The sequence below is a fragment of the Homo sapiens genome, chromosome 4 (assembly GCF_000001405.40).
Source record: "Homo sapiens chromosome 4, GRCh38.p14 Primary Assembly".
Classification (NCBI taxonomy): Eukaryota; Metazoa; Chordata; class Mammalia; order Primates; family Hominidae; genus Homo; species Homo sapiens.
In genome coordinates, this window is record NC_000004.12 from 48,765,323 (window position 1) to 48,781,108 (window position 15,786).

The 15,786-nt window shown below is 40.4% G+C and overlaps 1 protein-coding gene across 5 annotated transcripts in view, besides 3 other annotated features; it reads right to left on the minus strand.

Moving 5' to 3' along the window:
* The window catches only part of FRYL (FRY like transcription coactivator), a 282,923-nt gene extending 267,966 nt beyond the window's left edge, over positions 1 to 14,957 (minus strand). For all 5 annotated transcript variants that reach the window (XM_024453991.2, XM_024453993.2, XM_011513683.4 and 2 more), the window contains exon 1: positions 14,756 to 14,957. The gene's annotated coding sequence lies outside the window, so the exon portion shown is untranslated. The remainder of the gene's footprint in view (positions 1 to 14,755) is intronic.
* Positions 8,508 to 8,567: a silencer, noted in NCBI's record as "silent region_15412". NCBI's record gives its function as "represses an Ori minimal core promoter by ATAC-STARR-seq in GM12878 lymphoblastoid cells {active_cell/tissue: GM12878}" and the evidence as "EXISTENCE:reporter gene assay evidence [ECO:0000049][PMID:35858748]".
* Positions 13,923 to 14,802: a silencer, noted in NCBI's record as "silent region_15413". NCBI's record gives its function as "represses an Ori minimal core promoter by ATAC-STARR-seq in GM12878 lymphoblastoid cells {active_cell/tissue: GM12878}" and the evidence as "EXISTENCE:reporter gene assay evidence [ECO:0000049][PMID:35858748]".
* Positions 14,893 to 15,002: a silencer, noted in NCBI's record as "silent region_15414". NCBI's record gives its function as "represses an Ori minimal core promoter by ATAC-STARR-seq in GM12878 lymphoblastoid cells {active_cell/tissue: GM12878}" and the evidence as "EXISTENCE:reporter gene assay evidence [ECO:0000049][PMID:35858748]".

Below are 15,786 nucleotides of genomic sequence, written 5' to 3' on the forward strand. Positions count from 1 at the left end.
AATAGAGAGCCCAGAAATAAACCCATAAATATACAGTAAACTAATTTTCAACAAAGGTGCCAAAAATGTACAAGGGGGAAAGGACAGTCTCCTCAATAATGGTTTGGGAAAACTGGATAGTCACATGCAGAAGAATGAAATTGGATCCTTATATTGCACATACACATATATCAATTCAAAATGGATTAAAGACTTAAACATAAGACCTGAAACCATAAAACTACTAGAAAAAGCATAGGGGGAAAGCTCCATGACACTGGTCTTGGCAATGATTTTTTTTTTGGATTTGACACCAAAAGCAAAGGCAACAAAGCAAAACAAGTGGGACTATGTCAAACTAACAAGTTTCTGCACAACTAAGGAAACAACAAAATGAAAAGATGACCTACAAAATGGGAGAAAATATTTACAGACCATATATCCAAAAAGAGGTTAATTTTCAGAATATATAAGGAATTCATACAACTCAATAACAACAGTAAAAAAGCCCAATTTAAAAATGGGCAAGGTACAGAATAGGTATTTTTCCAAAGGAAGACATACAAACAGACCAATAGGTATATAAAAAGGTGTTCAATATCACTAAACATCAGGGAAATGCAAAGTAAAAACCACAATGAGTTATCTCACACCCAGAATGGCCAGTATCAAACTATAACAAGTGTTGGTGAGGATGTGGAGAAAAGGGAATGCTTGCATACGCTGGTGGGAATGTAAATTGGTACAGTCATCTGGGAAAACAGTATGGAGGTTCCTCAAAAAATTAAAAATATAACTGCCAAATGATCCAGCAATTTCACTATTGGGTATATATCCAAAGTAAATAATATCACAATCTCAGAGAGATATCTGTACTCCCACGTTCACTGTGGCGTTATTCACAATAGCCATAATGTGCTGTTGTGAGTCTGGTTTGTGAGGAACTACACACGATGGCTACAATCTCTGTTCCCTGAGAAGCTGCAGGGGCTAGTCAGAGTCCACACTCCTGAGACTTTTACCTTCCTTCAAGACACAAATAAAAGAGGTCAGATGACAGCTGTCAATAAAAGAGGTCAGATTCCAGGCCCCAGGAATCAGTGACTTTTGGAGACATGCTGGTATATTTCACTAAGCAGAATGGGCCAGCCTGATGCCTACTCAGAGGCCCTTGTGCAGGGATGTGATGCAGGAGGGCTCTGAGGCTGTTGGCCTTCCCAATATCACCCACTTCCAACCAGCTCTGATCTCTCAGCTAGAGCAAGGCAAAGAGCCATGATCCACCCAGTCACAGGGGGCCCTGAGTAGGAGGAACCGAGAGCAGACTCACAGGATGCATCTCAAAACCAAGAAGATTTACCTCTCAACTGAAACAATATCACATACAATACAATTTAAAATTCCTCAAAATAATCAGTGCTAGGAAGTCAGAACAAAGGCTTCATTCTTTTTTCTTTTTTTGTAAAGGCATTCATCAAGTAGTGCAAAGGCTTAATTCTTTACACCTTTAAATACCAGTTTTCAAAGTAAGGAGGTGATTTAAGAGTCACCTTAAATGATGTCAAATAAGCATTTTCTTCTGTAGATTCACGGATTTCCATAGATTTAATGTTTTCAATTCATTAAAATTATGAATTTTGATGTTAAAAAACAGATGAATGGATAAAAAATCATAATATATATCTATATATTATATATTATATATTTTATATATTATATATAAAATATGTATTGTATTATATAATAAATATATATCCACTGTATTAGTCTGTTCTCACACTGCTAGAAGACATATCTGAGACTGGGTAAGTTATAGAGAAGAGATATTTAAGGCTTATAATTCTGCAAGCTGTACAGGTTTCTGCTTCTGGGTAAGCCTTAGGAAACTTACAATCATGGCAGAAGGTGAAGAGGAAGCACGCACCGCCTTCACATGGCCAGTAGGAGAGAGAGAGGGAAGGGGGATGTGCTACACACTTTCAAAGGACAACAGCCAGATCTTCTGAGAACTCGCTCACTATCACAAGAAGAGCAAGGGGGAAATCTGACCGAATGATCCAATCACCTCCCACCAAGTCCCTCCCCCAACACTGGGGATTACAATTCGACATGAGATTTGGGTGGGGACACAAAGCCAAACCATATCATGCACATACACACACAACAGAATATTATTCGCCTTAAAAAAGAACATCCTGCCATTTACAACCACGTGGATGAACCTGGAGGACATTATGCTAAGTGAAATAAATCAAACACAGAAAGACGAATACTGCATGATCTCACTAATATATGGAATCTAAAATTTAAAAAGCCAAACTCAGAGTAACAGAGTAGAATGGTGGTTGCCAGAACCAGTGGGTGGGAGAAAAGGGGAATATTGGTGAAACGGTACAAACTTTCAGTTTATAAGATGAGTAAGTTCTGAAAACCTAATGTACAGCATGCATTTTCTCATCTTGGGTGGTGGGAAGCAGTGTGGTAGTGGTGGCAGCAGCAGAGGCTTCTTCCTCCAACTTCCTAATCCTGGATTGCAGCTACGGGTCCATTCTCCAGTCTGTAGAGTATCCAGAGGCAAGGACGCCAACAGCACAAGCTCTAGATTCCAGCACAGCCCCAGCGGTGCCCTCAGAGATCCCCTTGTGGGTAACCTCTGATTGATTTGGAGTCAAATGTGGCAGTCCACCCTAAAACTGCTGCTTGGCCCTTCTAATAATTCGGTAAGCACCTTGCATTAAACCTCTTCTAGCTTAAAATACTCAGGGATGTTTCTTTTCCTGACACTGAATACAGTACGTAAAGGTTTCCTAAAGGAAAGGTGGCAGTTGCACACCCTGAGGGATGCCTTGTGATGTCCTCTCATTTGTTCCCTTCCAGCATATTGCAACACACTGCAGCTTACAGGTGCCCAACTAAGTAGATTTACAGATCTCATCTGAATTGCGATAGCACTCACAAACGCACAAATGGATTCTTAAAAGATTTTTACAAAGAAGGACAGATTACGCATAATATTAATACATCAAAATACAAGCAAACAAAACGAAAATCGTAGCACTGGCAGTTGCTCTGTTACCAATATTAGTGCTTTATCAAAAATATAAGGTAAAAAAGTGATTATTTTGTAAAACATAAAACTTTCAGAAGAAAACAGAGGCGAAAATCTTCAGGACCTAGGACTTGGTGAAGAGTCCATAGACTTGACACAAAAAGTACAATTCAGCCGGCTGCAGTAGCTCACGCCTGTAATCCCAGCACTCTGGAAGGCTGAGGTAGGCAGATAACAAGGTCAGGAGTTTGAGACTAGCCTGACCAACATGGTGAAACCCTGTCTCTACTAAAAATACAAAAATTAGCCGGGTGTGGTGGCGGGCGCCTGTAATCCCAGCTACTCAGAAGGCTAGGGTAGGAGAATCACTTGAACCCAGGAGGTGGATGTTGAGTGCGCCATTGCACTCCAGCCTGGGTGACACAGCGAGTCTCTGTCTCAAAGAAAAAAAAAAAGGTACAATTCATAGAACAAAAAAATTGATTAAATGCATTATATGGCTCGGCACAGTGGCTCATGCCTGTAATCCCAACACTTTGCAAGGCTGAGGCAGGAAGACTGCTTGAGGCCAGGAGTTCAAGACCAGCCTGGACAACACAGCGACGCCCTGTCTTTACCAAAAACAAAAACAAAATTAGCTGGGCATGGTGGTGGTGCAGGCCTGTAGTCTCAGCTACTCTGGAGGCTGAGATGGGAGGATCACTTGACAGGTGGTAGAGGTTGCAGTGAACCATGATTGCACCACTGCACTCCAGCCTGAGTAACAGAATGAGACCCTGTCTCAAAAAAAATAAATAACAGACGGACTATACGAAAAGGCAAACGTTCTGTTCTATGAAAGATCTATTAAGAGGATAAAAAGACAAGCTTCAGATGCAGAGAAAATGTTTACATACCACATAACTGGCAAAGAACTTCTATCTAGAATATATAAAGAATCCTCAAAACTCTACAATAAAAAACAATCCCATTTGCCCCTTAGGGAAACAGTTAATTTAGGGAAAGGCATATTAAAACCACAACATTATCAATACAATACTACTAGAACAGTTAAAATATAAAATAATGATAATACGAAATGTTGGAGAGGATATAGAGAAACTTTCATATCGATGAAATGGAACTTTCCATATATTGCTGGTGAAAACATACAGCCACTTTGGAAAACAGTCTGGTAGTTTCTTATAAAACTAAACATACACTTACAGTATGACCCAGTAATTGCACTCTTGGTCATTTATCCCAGAGAAATGAAAACCTAAAAACTGCACATAAATATTCCCAGCAGCTTTTTAGTTAACAGCCAAAACCTGGAAATAGCTCCTATGTTCTTCAGCAGGTGAAGAGTTAAACTATGTACTCTGCTACGTTCATACAATAAATACTACTCAGCAATAAGAAGAAATAAGCTATTGAGTGAGACAGGTTGGATGGTTTTCTAGGACTTTATACTAAGTGAAAAAGTCAATCGCAAAAGGTTACATACAGTATGATTCCATTTATGAGACATTCTCAAAATGATAGAGTGAAAAGAGAATTAGTGGCTGCCAGTAAATACGGAAAAGGAGGTAGGGGGGAACCTTGAGCTTCACGAGGGAGTTTCTTGGCAGTGGTGGGACAGTTCTATATCTTGACTGTGGTGGTGGCAGTTATACAAATCTACCTGTACATACACATACAAAGGCATATACAAGAATTTTATCAAATTGCATAGAACTGTACACACGCATATACATACAAATGAGCACATTAAAGAACATGAAATCTGAATATTAACGATATTGTATCAGTTTCCTAGTTAAGGTTATTAATATGTTATCTTATGTAAGATGTTACAACTGGGAGAAGCTGAATGAAGGTGACACAGGACTCCCTGTACTATTCTCGCAACTTCCCATGAGTCTATAAATACTTCAAAATTTAAAAAAAAATGTTTAAGTGATGATATTCAATCACATTTTTCTTATTTTACAAATTACTAATATTTTAAGTAGGATCAAAAACATGGAACTAATATATTTTAAATTATTTGAAAATGTTTTTCATCCTTATCACATTTTTTTGTTAATGTCTTTTTTATTTTTTATTTATTTTTTATTTTTTTGAGACAGAGTTTCGCTCTTGTTGCCCAGTTTGGAGTGCAATGGTGCAATCTCGGCTCACCGCAACCTCCGCCTCCCGGATTCAAGTGATTCTCCTGCCTCAGCCTCCTGTGTAGCTGGGATTACAGGCATGCACTACCACGCCTGGCTAATTTTGTATTTTTAGTAGAGATGGGGTTTCTCCATGTTGGTTGAGCTGGTCTCGAACTCGCAACCTCAGGTGATCTGCCCGCCTCAGCCTCCCAAAGTGCTGGAATTACAGGTGTGAGCCACCACGCCCGGGTTAATGTCTTATTATGAACATAATTTATAGTATATAGTTTACAATAAATAAGCATACACATATTGGGAATGAAGACTCAATTTTTTATACTGCTGAAATAAAATTTTTGCAGACTTCTGTTACAGAGGCTACAAAATTCCAAGCTACTATCCCTCCCTTAAAATTTTTACCTTGGGAAGAACATTAGAACAGGAAAAATGTTAGAACAGGAAAAATACTAAACTAAGAATCAAAGCACAGTTCTTTTTTTGTTTGTTTTTTGTTATTTCCTTTCAAATCTACATCTGCAGAAAAAGAACAATTCTAAACAAGTCACAGTCTCATTCTCATCTATAAAATGCAGAAATTCTACTGTATCATTCCTAAGGACATTCTAGCTCCAAAAACATTAACTCTAAGGCAGGAAAAGGTGAAACAATGAAAAAATGCATGACAAACTGTAACTAGTATTTACTGAAAGTATATTAAGGGTTCAGTAGTATCAGGAATATTACATACAAGACATGGTCTAAATTGTATCAACACAAATACAGAAAAATGCATCTATAAAGATAATTTTACCTCAAAGAAAACAGATTAAGATCCAGTTTAAACAAAAATATTTAGGTAACAGACACATCTGGCTATTTTACAAGCAATCTCATAGTGCTTTAAGACTTTTAATATCTGCTCTTTGACTTACATTGTAACAATATACCAGTAGATCTAAGTATCCTAGTATACATGCTTAGGGTTTTGATGGTTCTTACAAGAAGTAGACTAGCAAGTCATTCTAACAGGAAAAACAGTTCTTCTCCATCCACTTGAGTTAGACTTAACAAGACAATTTTTAGAGGTTTATTATTCAGAGGAAGTTAAACATCCACAGGGTAGCATCTACCATCCTGTTATACCATCCTCGGCTATCCAGAAGCATCACTTAGCCAAAACAGAGTCAAAAACCAGAAAAAAAGCACGAGTCCTCTAAGCAGTAAAAAACAACAAGTCCCTAGCACTAAAGCTCCATGCACAGAAAGTCTTCTGGTTCCTCACCCAGAAGAACATGCTGTCATTTTTATCCACCATTCAGCAAGTACTGTATGGGGTTCTGTTCCCACAGCACACTGAAAACATCAAATTATAAAGAGGAGACTACTATGGGCAGGCATAATGAGAGCAAACAAAGAGATAACAGTTAACAATAAAGTAATAAGCAAATCAACCCCCAAAAGCAGACATGATTTAGAAAGGAATGGTTTCACCAACAAACAAAATATGATTCTCTGTACATTGCTGGCTGAGGACACTAATTGGCTAGAGTTCCTTTTGCAAATAAATTGTTGTGAGTTCACTGACATCCCAGACATACGAATGTCACTAAATCTATTGACTACTTAATAAGTAAGGTATAAGTATTAATAATGTATATGTACCATCTTTTAAGGTGGAAGGATGCAGATTATATTTTGAGAATTTTTTGTAATTGTTTCCATTAACTATACTTTACACTTCTACAGGCTAGCAAGTCTTTGTCTTTTTAAGATTATTTTGAACCTCTATTTTTGATAGTAATTCACTTGATAGTCACATGAGACCTGCCGGTAAAGGCCACAGTGAGCCGTGATTGCACCACTGCACTCCAGCCTGGGCAACAGAGCAAGACTCTGTGTCAAAAAAATAAATAAATACCTTTCTAAACTTGGATCTACATACATCAAGGGATGATGTACTTGAATCTACTCATACTATTTATACACATTGAGAGGGATCAAGTTACACAGGAATGTACATTTATTAAGATGCACATTCATCAAACTAATATTTTTAACCAGTATTATAGATGGCATAACCCATCTTAAGTTTTAAAATGGAAAAATAAAATTACAAATTATCTTTCCAGCATTCTTTACTATTGAACTAAATTAAATCACATCTGAAGCTTACCCTGAAATGAAGAGACCTACCAAAAAAAAAAAAAAAAAAAAAAAAAGCAGAACAAAACAAGAATTCTGAGAAGTGGAAATACTACACTGAAATCCATTCAGGCAACAAAGAACACGTGAGTGGTTTATATCCTAAAAAGCAAGGCTGCACTGCAGTAAGTAAACAAACTAATGTTCCTTTTTCATCAACTTTCAGATGCTTTTAACAACAACAACACTTTTAACCTTTCTGAAGTATGGACGCTGAAATAGAGGTGTATCTTACAACTACTGTCATCCAACAGTGGGATGTCGTTGGTGAAAACGTTCAGTTGATTCCTCCTGGAAAGATCAAGGAAGCACCAGCATCAAAGTGTCTTACATTTGATCAAAAATAGTCACTCAAAATAGTCTTAAAAAGACAAAGAAATGATCAGAAGCCTGTAAAAGTATAATCAACAGAGACAACTACAAAAAATTCTCAAAATGTAAACTGCATCCTCCTACCTTAAAATATGGTACATATAAATTACTTATCACACTACTTAGCAAGTAGTCAACAGATTATCTATCATTATTATTATAAGACGCAAGATAAAGACTAGTAGAGCTGATGAAAATATCTGTGATCATAGTGATCAGCCAATCAATAAGCACTTATTAAGGGTCTACCAAGTCACTAGCAATATGCAAGAGTAATGCAAATCCATCATGATCAATCTACGAAGCACTATTTTTTTAACCAGTAAGGGGCAAATGTCACATCACATTCATCAACGATTAGAACTAAGTACTTTTAACTTCCTTTAAAGTATTGCCCTTTATTTGAGTCCAGTCTGCAGAACTCGAAACCTAAATTGTTTACTTGAAAAGAGTCATCAAATGATTATGTTAGTATAAGGAAGTGTTACCAGAATGAGTCTAATGGTTTTCATAGGGGAAAAAAAAAATTTCCTATTATTCTCCAGGCTTAGGTAGAATAATGATGGGTTAAATTTTCTCTTAAAACCTTTCTACGGTGGCTCACACCTGTAATCCCAGCACTTTGGGAGGCCAAGGCAGGCAGATAGCTTCAGCCTAGGAGTTCAAGATCAGCCTAGGCAACATGGCAAGATCCTCTTTCTACAAAAAATAGCTGGGTGTGGTGGCACATGCCTGTGGTTCCAGCTACTCACGGGGCTGAGGTGAGAGGATCACTTGAGCCCAGCTGGTGGAGGCTACAGTGGAAACTGTAGCTGTGACTGCACCACTGCACTCCAGCCTGGGAAACAGAGTGAGACTCTGTATCAAATAAATACATAAATAAGTACCTTTCTAAACTTGGAGCTACCCACATCAAGGAATGATGTACTTGAATCTATTTACAGTACTTACACACATTGAGAGGGATCAAGTTACGCAGGAATGTACATTTAATAAAATGTTATTTTTTATTTATATAGAATGTCCAAAATAGGCAAATATAGAAACAAAGAATATGGATCAGTGGTTGCCTAGGGCTGGGGATGGGGTGGGGATGGGATGAAAAAGTTCTAAAATTAATTGAGGTTATGGTATACAACTCTGAAATAGAATAAAAACCACTGAATTGTACATTTTTAATAGGTAAATTATATGGCATACGAATTATATTTCAAAAAAGCTGTCACTTTAAAATTTTAACTCTTCACAAAACTTAACATATCAAAACTGCTGCATTATGGTCAAATTCCACAGGAACTACTACCCCTCTGTCAGATATTATTCCTGGCCCAGTCAACACACCATCACTGACAGTGTTACATGGTCCCTTTCTTAACACTCCAATCTTTCCCCCACAAATATAAAGACTGAATGGGAAAAGGAGGGTGGTAGGGGGATCTATTTTGTCAAAGTTAAAAATATTTCACACTGAATTTTAATACAAATAATTTTTTTTTTTTTTTTGGAGAAGGAATCTTGCTCTGTCACCTAGGCTGGAGCACAGTGGCGTGATCTCGGCTCACTGCAACTTCCGCCTCCTGGGTTCAAGCGATTCTCTTGCCTCAGACTCCAGAGTACCTGGGACTACAGGCATGTGCCACCACACCCGGCTAATTTTTTTGTATTTTAAGTAGAGACAGGGTTTCACTATGTTGGCCAGGCTGGTCTCGAACTCCTATCCTCAGTGATCCGCCCACCTCAGTCTCCGAGTGCCGGGATTACAGGCGTGAGCCACCGCGTCCAGCCAATGATTTTTCAAAATAATATTTTTCGTAACAAAAAGCACAAATCCTGGTAAAGACATGTATTTATTATAGCATTTTGAGCTTAAAAGAATGTATTACTACTATGTCAGCAAAATATGAGTTATTTGCTAGGATACCCATGTAGTCTCATAATGATATTCTTTGAAATGCACGATACCTGTAAAGTATAAGGAAAGACACAATTACGTTTGCAGAATTTCAGAAATATTTCGCCCCACAGGAACAGCAGTGTTTGCAATCCCAAAAAACAACTCTAAGCTAACAAGTTTAATTCAAGAGGTTCCATGGACCTTAACCCACCTCCTGTGGAAGCCCAGGTTTGTGTGCTAGGCTATTTTGGAAGAGGCTATGCCGAAAAATAAACAAATGAGTGAATAATAAGTTCACCAAAGGGTGCACTTCATCTAAGCTACCTTTAATCCACATGTTCCACTCTGCACTGGTCTATTTAAGGTTCCTGCTCAGAGGAGCTCATAACTTGTGACAGATACAAACTTAATCTTACCCTCAATGCCTAGCATGGTACACACTATAGATGCAGTTCTCAAAAGTCTGCTAAATGAAAGATTTTTTTTTCAGCTGATTAGGCCGCCTGGCTGCTTACAGCTGGGTTTTCTATTTAGGATCCTTTGGAAACCCTTTCTGCCCTCTGGGGTAGCTTAAAGAAGGACGTGGAACAACAGACTCTTCTCACCTACTTCACCAGCCTAAACTGTAGCCCCCTTTTTATAATTAGCAACTTAACGTTTGAGTGATTCCACCATGAACAAATCTACATTTCTCCTTGGGCTACTATGAGGAGTGCCCGCTGGGAGTCTCAAAGCAATTTTTAATCCTCTCTCTCTTGAGAAGAATAATCAAGAAATAAGAAGAAATTAAAGTATGTACTCCAAAAATATTCTGGGGTAAAGGCAGATAAACTGTTCAGGCACACAGGTTTTGATCAATTTTTGCAGAGTATGAAGTCTACATTTTGAACACAAACATACTAGTGGCAGCTTTGTATCCTAAGAAAAGGTAAAAGGAACCAGAATTGCCAGAATTACTAGGCCTGGAGAAATTATTTTTAAAGATAAGTATATAAAAAATGATTAGTTTTCCCCACTCCCAATAAATGTAATTTACTAACTAAAATTTGCAAGCATGAGAGACAGTTTAAGACAGTCCTATACAGAGGTTAAAAAAAAAAAGAAAAAGAAAAAAAGGAAAAAAAAAACCTGAAAGAATAAACAACCACTAACAATGTTACAATGTGATAGGAGCAGTGTTATGTGACACTTTTCGTTTCTTTTTTTTTTTTTTAAATAGAGTCAGAGTCTCCCTTTGTTGCCCATACTGCTCTTTAACTCCTGGGCTCAAGCCATCTTCCCGCCTCAGCCTCCCAAAGTCCTGGGATTACAGGCATGAGCCACCATACCCAGCCACTTTTAATTTTGAAATTATGCATTTCTTTCATATTAATATTTTACAACAAGCATGTGAAACTTTGATAAGCAAAAACTTTTTCTCCTTTAAACATAAATACACACTTTCCAAACCCAAATAAAACTAAATTTAAACTTCTTTACAGTAAGTGATTTTCTAGAATACTGGTGGGCTATTAAAACTGCCCAAGTACTTTAGGCAACAGTAAAAATGAAAGGGCTCTAACTTCTGTTAATTTTAGCAAACTCCACAATCTAATAAAAGAAATATACACACAGCCATACTGTAAGTCAGACCATGGCTTGTACTGTAAGAGGATTTTACAGGAGCAAAAACAAAGAACAATCACCTGGGATTAGGAGAACAGAGGAAGAGCTTGCAGACAAGGTGACATCTGAGCAGGGCCAGATGGATGATCCCTGTCACTATGTAACAATAGTTGAAATTCAGAGCACATACTCTGTCTCCCCAAAATATTTTATACATAAAAATAGCTCGAGTAGACAACATATACCTAGTCTACCCCCAAAACTACTTTATTAAAAAATGTATTTAAAAATATATTTTCTAAAATCTGCTAAAGCCATGAAAACTTGTCCACTTCAATCATTTCAATTACATGAATCCTGTGTCACTGTTACTTTGTACTTGTTACTGCACTGACATACCCACTGTCCTTTTCCTAAGAATCGTAATTTTGCATCTTCTCATTAAACTGTATACATCTGATTTGCTGGCTCTGGGTCTAATTTAAAAAAAAAACAAAAACTATTTAGAGCAAGACTGTCATCCAGTTCTACTTTATCTCCATAAATACTCTGTCATCGGTTTCTACTTTACATAATACCCTTTAAATAAAAGTATACTCAACAGATCTTATTGACACATAAAACCTAGTCCTGAATAATTGTGAATAATTGTGACAATGTGTTCACCATCACAAAAGATGTCTGTGGAACAGATATTATAAACAAATCACAATTTTGTACACAGAACAAAGAACCTCTAGATTGACATATCTTCCCCCAACAGTAAGCCAATTGCTGGCCTTTAGTATAAAATGTTCAGAAAGGTGTTTATTTAAAAAATTAAATAACTCAAGCGGCCTTTACAGGACATTATCTTTTTCTGTCACAAAGACCTAAAATAAGACATTTATTGGGTACTAAAAAGGTCCGAGGTGATACAGTGAATCTGCACAGAAATGGAGGATAATTCTGGCTCCCAAGGATCTCAAGAAACAGTTCATAACTCAAGAAATGTGTGCATATAAAACAATGTGTTTAAAACAATGTAGAAAGCACAAAAGAGGAAAAAGTCTTTTTCAGGAAATACAGTCTAGATATTTCAAAGATAATTATTTCTGAATGTTTTATTCATATGTTCTCTTCTAAAAGTTGAGAAATTCTTTTATTGTTTAAATAAATTGGTAAGTAAACAAAGACAGACATTTAAAAACTTGGTTTAACCGTCTCCTTTTATTATGAGATGGGAAGGAAGATTATGCCTAGCTGCTTGCCTGACATCCTTATCACAGAAATGGATCAAAGAAAAAAACAAAAAAGAAGAAATATTAGGTGAAACAATGCCAGATACCATCAAGATTACTACAAACGGCCAAGCACGGTGGCTCAGTCTGTAATCCCAGCACTTTGAGAGGCCAAAGCAGAAGGATCGCTTGAGGCCAGGAGTTGGAGACCAGCCGTCTATACGAAAAATTAAAAAGTGAGACCACCATCTCTACAAAAAATAAAAATTTTAGCTAGGCGCAGTCGTGCCCACCTGTAGTCCCGGCTACTACGGAGCCTGGGGTGGGAGGATCACTTGAACCCAAAGAATTTGTTTTTGTGTGTCTTTATTTCCTAAATTCTGTGAGAAGAATAGATTTTTATTTCAAACATTATCTGATATTGGCTTCCAATTTCCCAAGTAGTTTCTCTATTGTTACTGCTGAGCCTGTGAATTTACAATGTTCCACACCACTCCGAAGTTACTAGACAATAAATTAATCGATGAACGCTTTAAAAAGTTGGACTGCTTTAATAAAAAAAAAAAAAACTGGGTCACATGTTCCAACAGAATTCCCTCTTTTAGAGAACTAATTTTACAAAATAATTCAGAGTGGAAGACAAGACACGATGGAATGCTATTTTTGATAATGAGTAGCAGAAAAAAGACCAGAGAATAACACACCCACTGCTACTTTGTTTATACGGTTGTAACTTGCACATGCAAGTACTCTACATAAAGTATTGCACAAGAAGAAACTGTCAAAAATGAATGCTTATGAAAACATTCTTCACTAAGGCCTCTAACAAGGAATGTGCTATCTCTGATTTCCTCGGCAAGTATTGACAGATTAAGCAGAGTGATAATGCTCAAGATGAAAAGACGTCTTATACTAGTTTTTATCAATAGTAAAAGCTGTTGGTACTAATTATAATGGCTGTAAATTCAGTAGCAGAATCAACTTTACAGACGATATCTCCTAGGCAGCACAGCATTTTATAAAACCAACTTTACTTCCATCAAAACCCTTTTTCCCCCCCAATCCGACAGACCCTGGCAACCTGTCTTGCTGTGTCTTTTTTCCCCTACCCTTCCAAAAGAACCCCAGCCAGTGAATCGAAGTAATATTTTCCGCAGTTCAAAGGTAAGGGCAAACTCAGCTCTACTAAGAACTCTTGCTCCTCACCAGCACACACCCTAACCCCCACCCCCTTTTTTTTCTTTTCAAATCTTGGCCTAGGAAAGATTAATGCTCCCATATCATTGCAAATCCACAAAAATGCGATTTTAGGTGGCGAGGAACTAAACTAGGATGGCAGGAAAGACCGGCAGCAATAAATCATTTCGCCCTAGAAACCAGCCTCTCCAGAACGCAGGAAACCAGGCTGTGCCCAAAGAACCTGCCGCCCGGAAGCAACAACTTCCATCAAACGGCAAATAAAAGTTGCAAAGAAGAGCTCAGCGCCCAGGCACCCTGCCCGGTGCCGAGGCTGAGAGCAGCAGGCAATCTACAGGCCGAGTCAGCTCGCGGGCGGTGGCCGCGGTGTCCGCAGGGCTGGCTCCGGCTCCGGAAGACTCCGGGTCCCGGGGTACGCCAACGGCCCGGGGCTGCGCGGGCACAGCGCCCGCACCCCTCCCCAGGACCGCGAGCAGTGGGCGGAGAGACCAGAGCAAGGGAAAAGGCGGACAATGCCCGGCTGGGCTGGCGCGCTCCGCCGGTCCCCGCCAGCCCTGCCCGCCGGGGCCCGCCAGCCGCCGCGCTAAGTTTGCTCCTCAGCCCTCCCTTCCCAGCCGAGGCGGCGGAGCCGTGGTCGCCGGTCTTCCTCCACCTCTGCCACCGCCTTCCTTCCCGCGGGGCGGCTCCCGCGAGTCGGTGGCGAGGCGGCGCGCGACCAGAGCAGGACGCGCGAGAAGGCGGCGCGCGAGGGGTACCCGGGCGCGCGCGAGAAGAGCCAGGCACTGGAGGGGAAGGGGACGTGCGGGAGAGACGGGCGCGCGGCGCTGCCGGCGGAACCGCCGGAGCTCGGGCGGGCTTTCGGTTGAGGCTGGGGTTGCGCCGCGGTTTGGTGTCCGTTACGAGCGCCGGCCCGGGCCGCGCCGCGCCGCTTGCCAGCCATCCTGGACCGCCTTCCCTCGGCGCCCACCAGGAAGGACAGCTGGCGAGGGCCGACGACCTCGTCTCCCGCCCAGGCTGGGCTGCCGGCGGCGGGCATCCCGGCGCCTGCCCCGGGGCTGGAAGAGAAAGTAAAATGAAGCGCCTTTCCCCAGTCAACACCTACCCGTTCCCAGTCCTAGTACAGCTGCCTCGCTCCTCCAGCGCCGCCGGTCCCCGCCCTCGGGCCCCTGGCTCCGTTCTCTTGACAATGGCGCGTCCCCTTTAAGGAATAATCCGATCGGAACCGATCTGTGGTTAAACCTCCCTCCGACTCTGATTTTAACCGGATTTCTCTCTCGCTCTCTCCCAGAGCCCGACGGGCGCCCGGCTGTGCTGCGAGGTCTTCCCACCCCTTCCCTACCCCGCCCGCCCCCTGGCCTTCCTGATTGGCGAGAAACACTACAACAGGAACAGCAGTCCTCGCCCTCCACTGGCCTGGCCAGCCGCCGCTCAAAGTTGCTCCTACCTTCTCCCCGCCCCTTTTCCCGGGTTGGTCTTCCCTCTAATCATTCTCTGCCCTCGCCTCTAACGTTGCTTTGGAGCCCTGGCAGTCAAGGCTCACCCTCCCGCCTCCGGAAAGCGAACTTTATTTTTATTGGTGAAAGGACATCTTCCTGTACACTTGATTGGGCAAGGAAAGAGCTAGTCTGCACGCTCCCTACCATTATTACTCTCTCTTTACGGGCTTGAGAAACACAGCCGCAAAGTCCTCTCCGCTTTGCCTTCTAGGAGCGACTTTACCTTTAAATGTTGTTAGGGGTCGAGGACAAACTCATATCCTATATTGAGGAAAGCTGGAAAGGGACAAGAGAAAAATTCAAAATTTTCTCCCGATCAGTAATGTATCCAGAGCTGGCGCCCGGATCCTGCGGAACCTTATCCAATGATCCAGAGAATGGAATGGTTAGAATTGAGTTAGAATACCTGAAAGTCCAGTGCTAATTCCTCCTGAGATTTACTCAACAAGTTTCATCCACTGTCCGCCCTACTCATACCATTGATTGCACTGGCATTTTGCCACCCGGAAGAGCTTTAATCAAGTTATCTGCAAACCTGGAGGTTTCCTTGCTTGTCTCGCAATTGTTCATTTAGAAAATCATTTCCATTACAAGTTCCGTTTAAGTCACGTCCTCTGTGACGTTCCCGCGTTTCCAC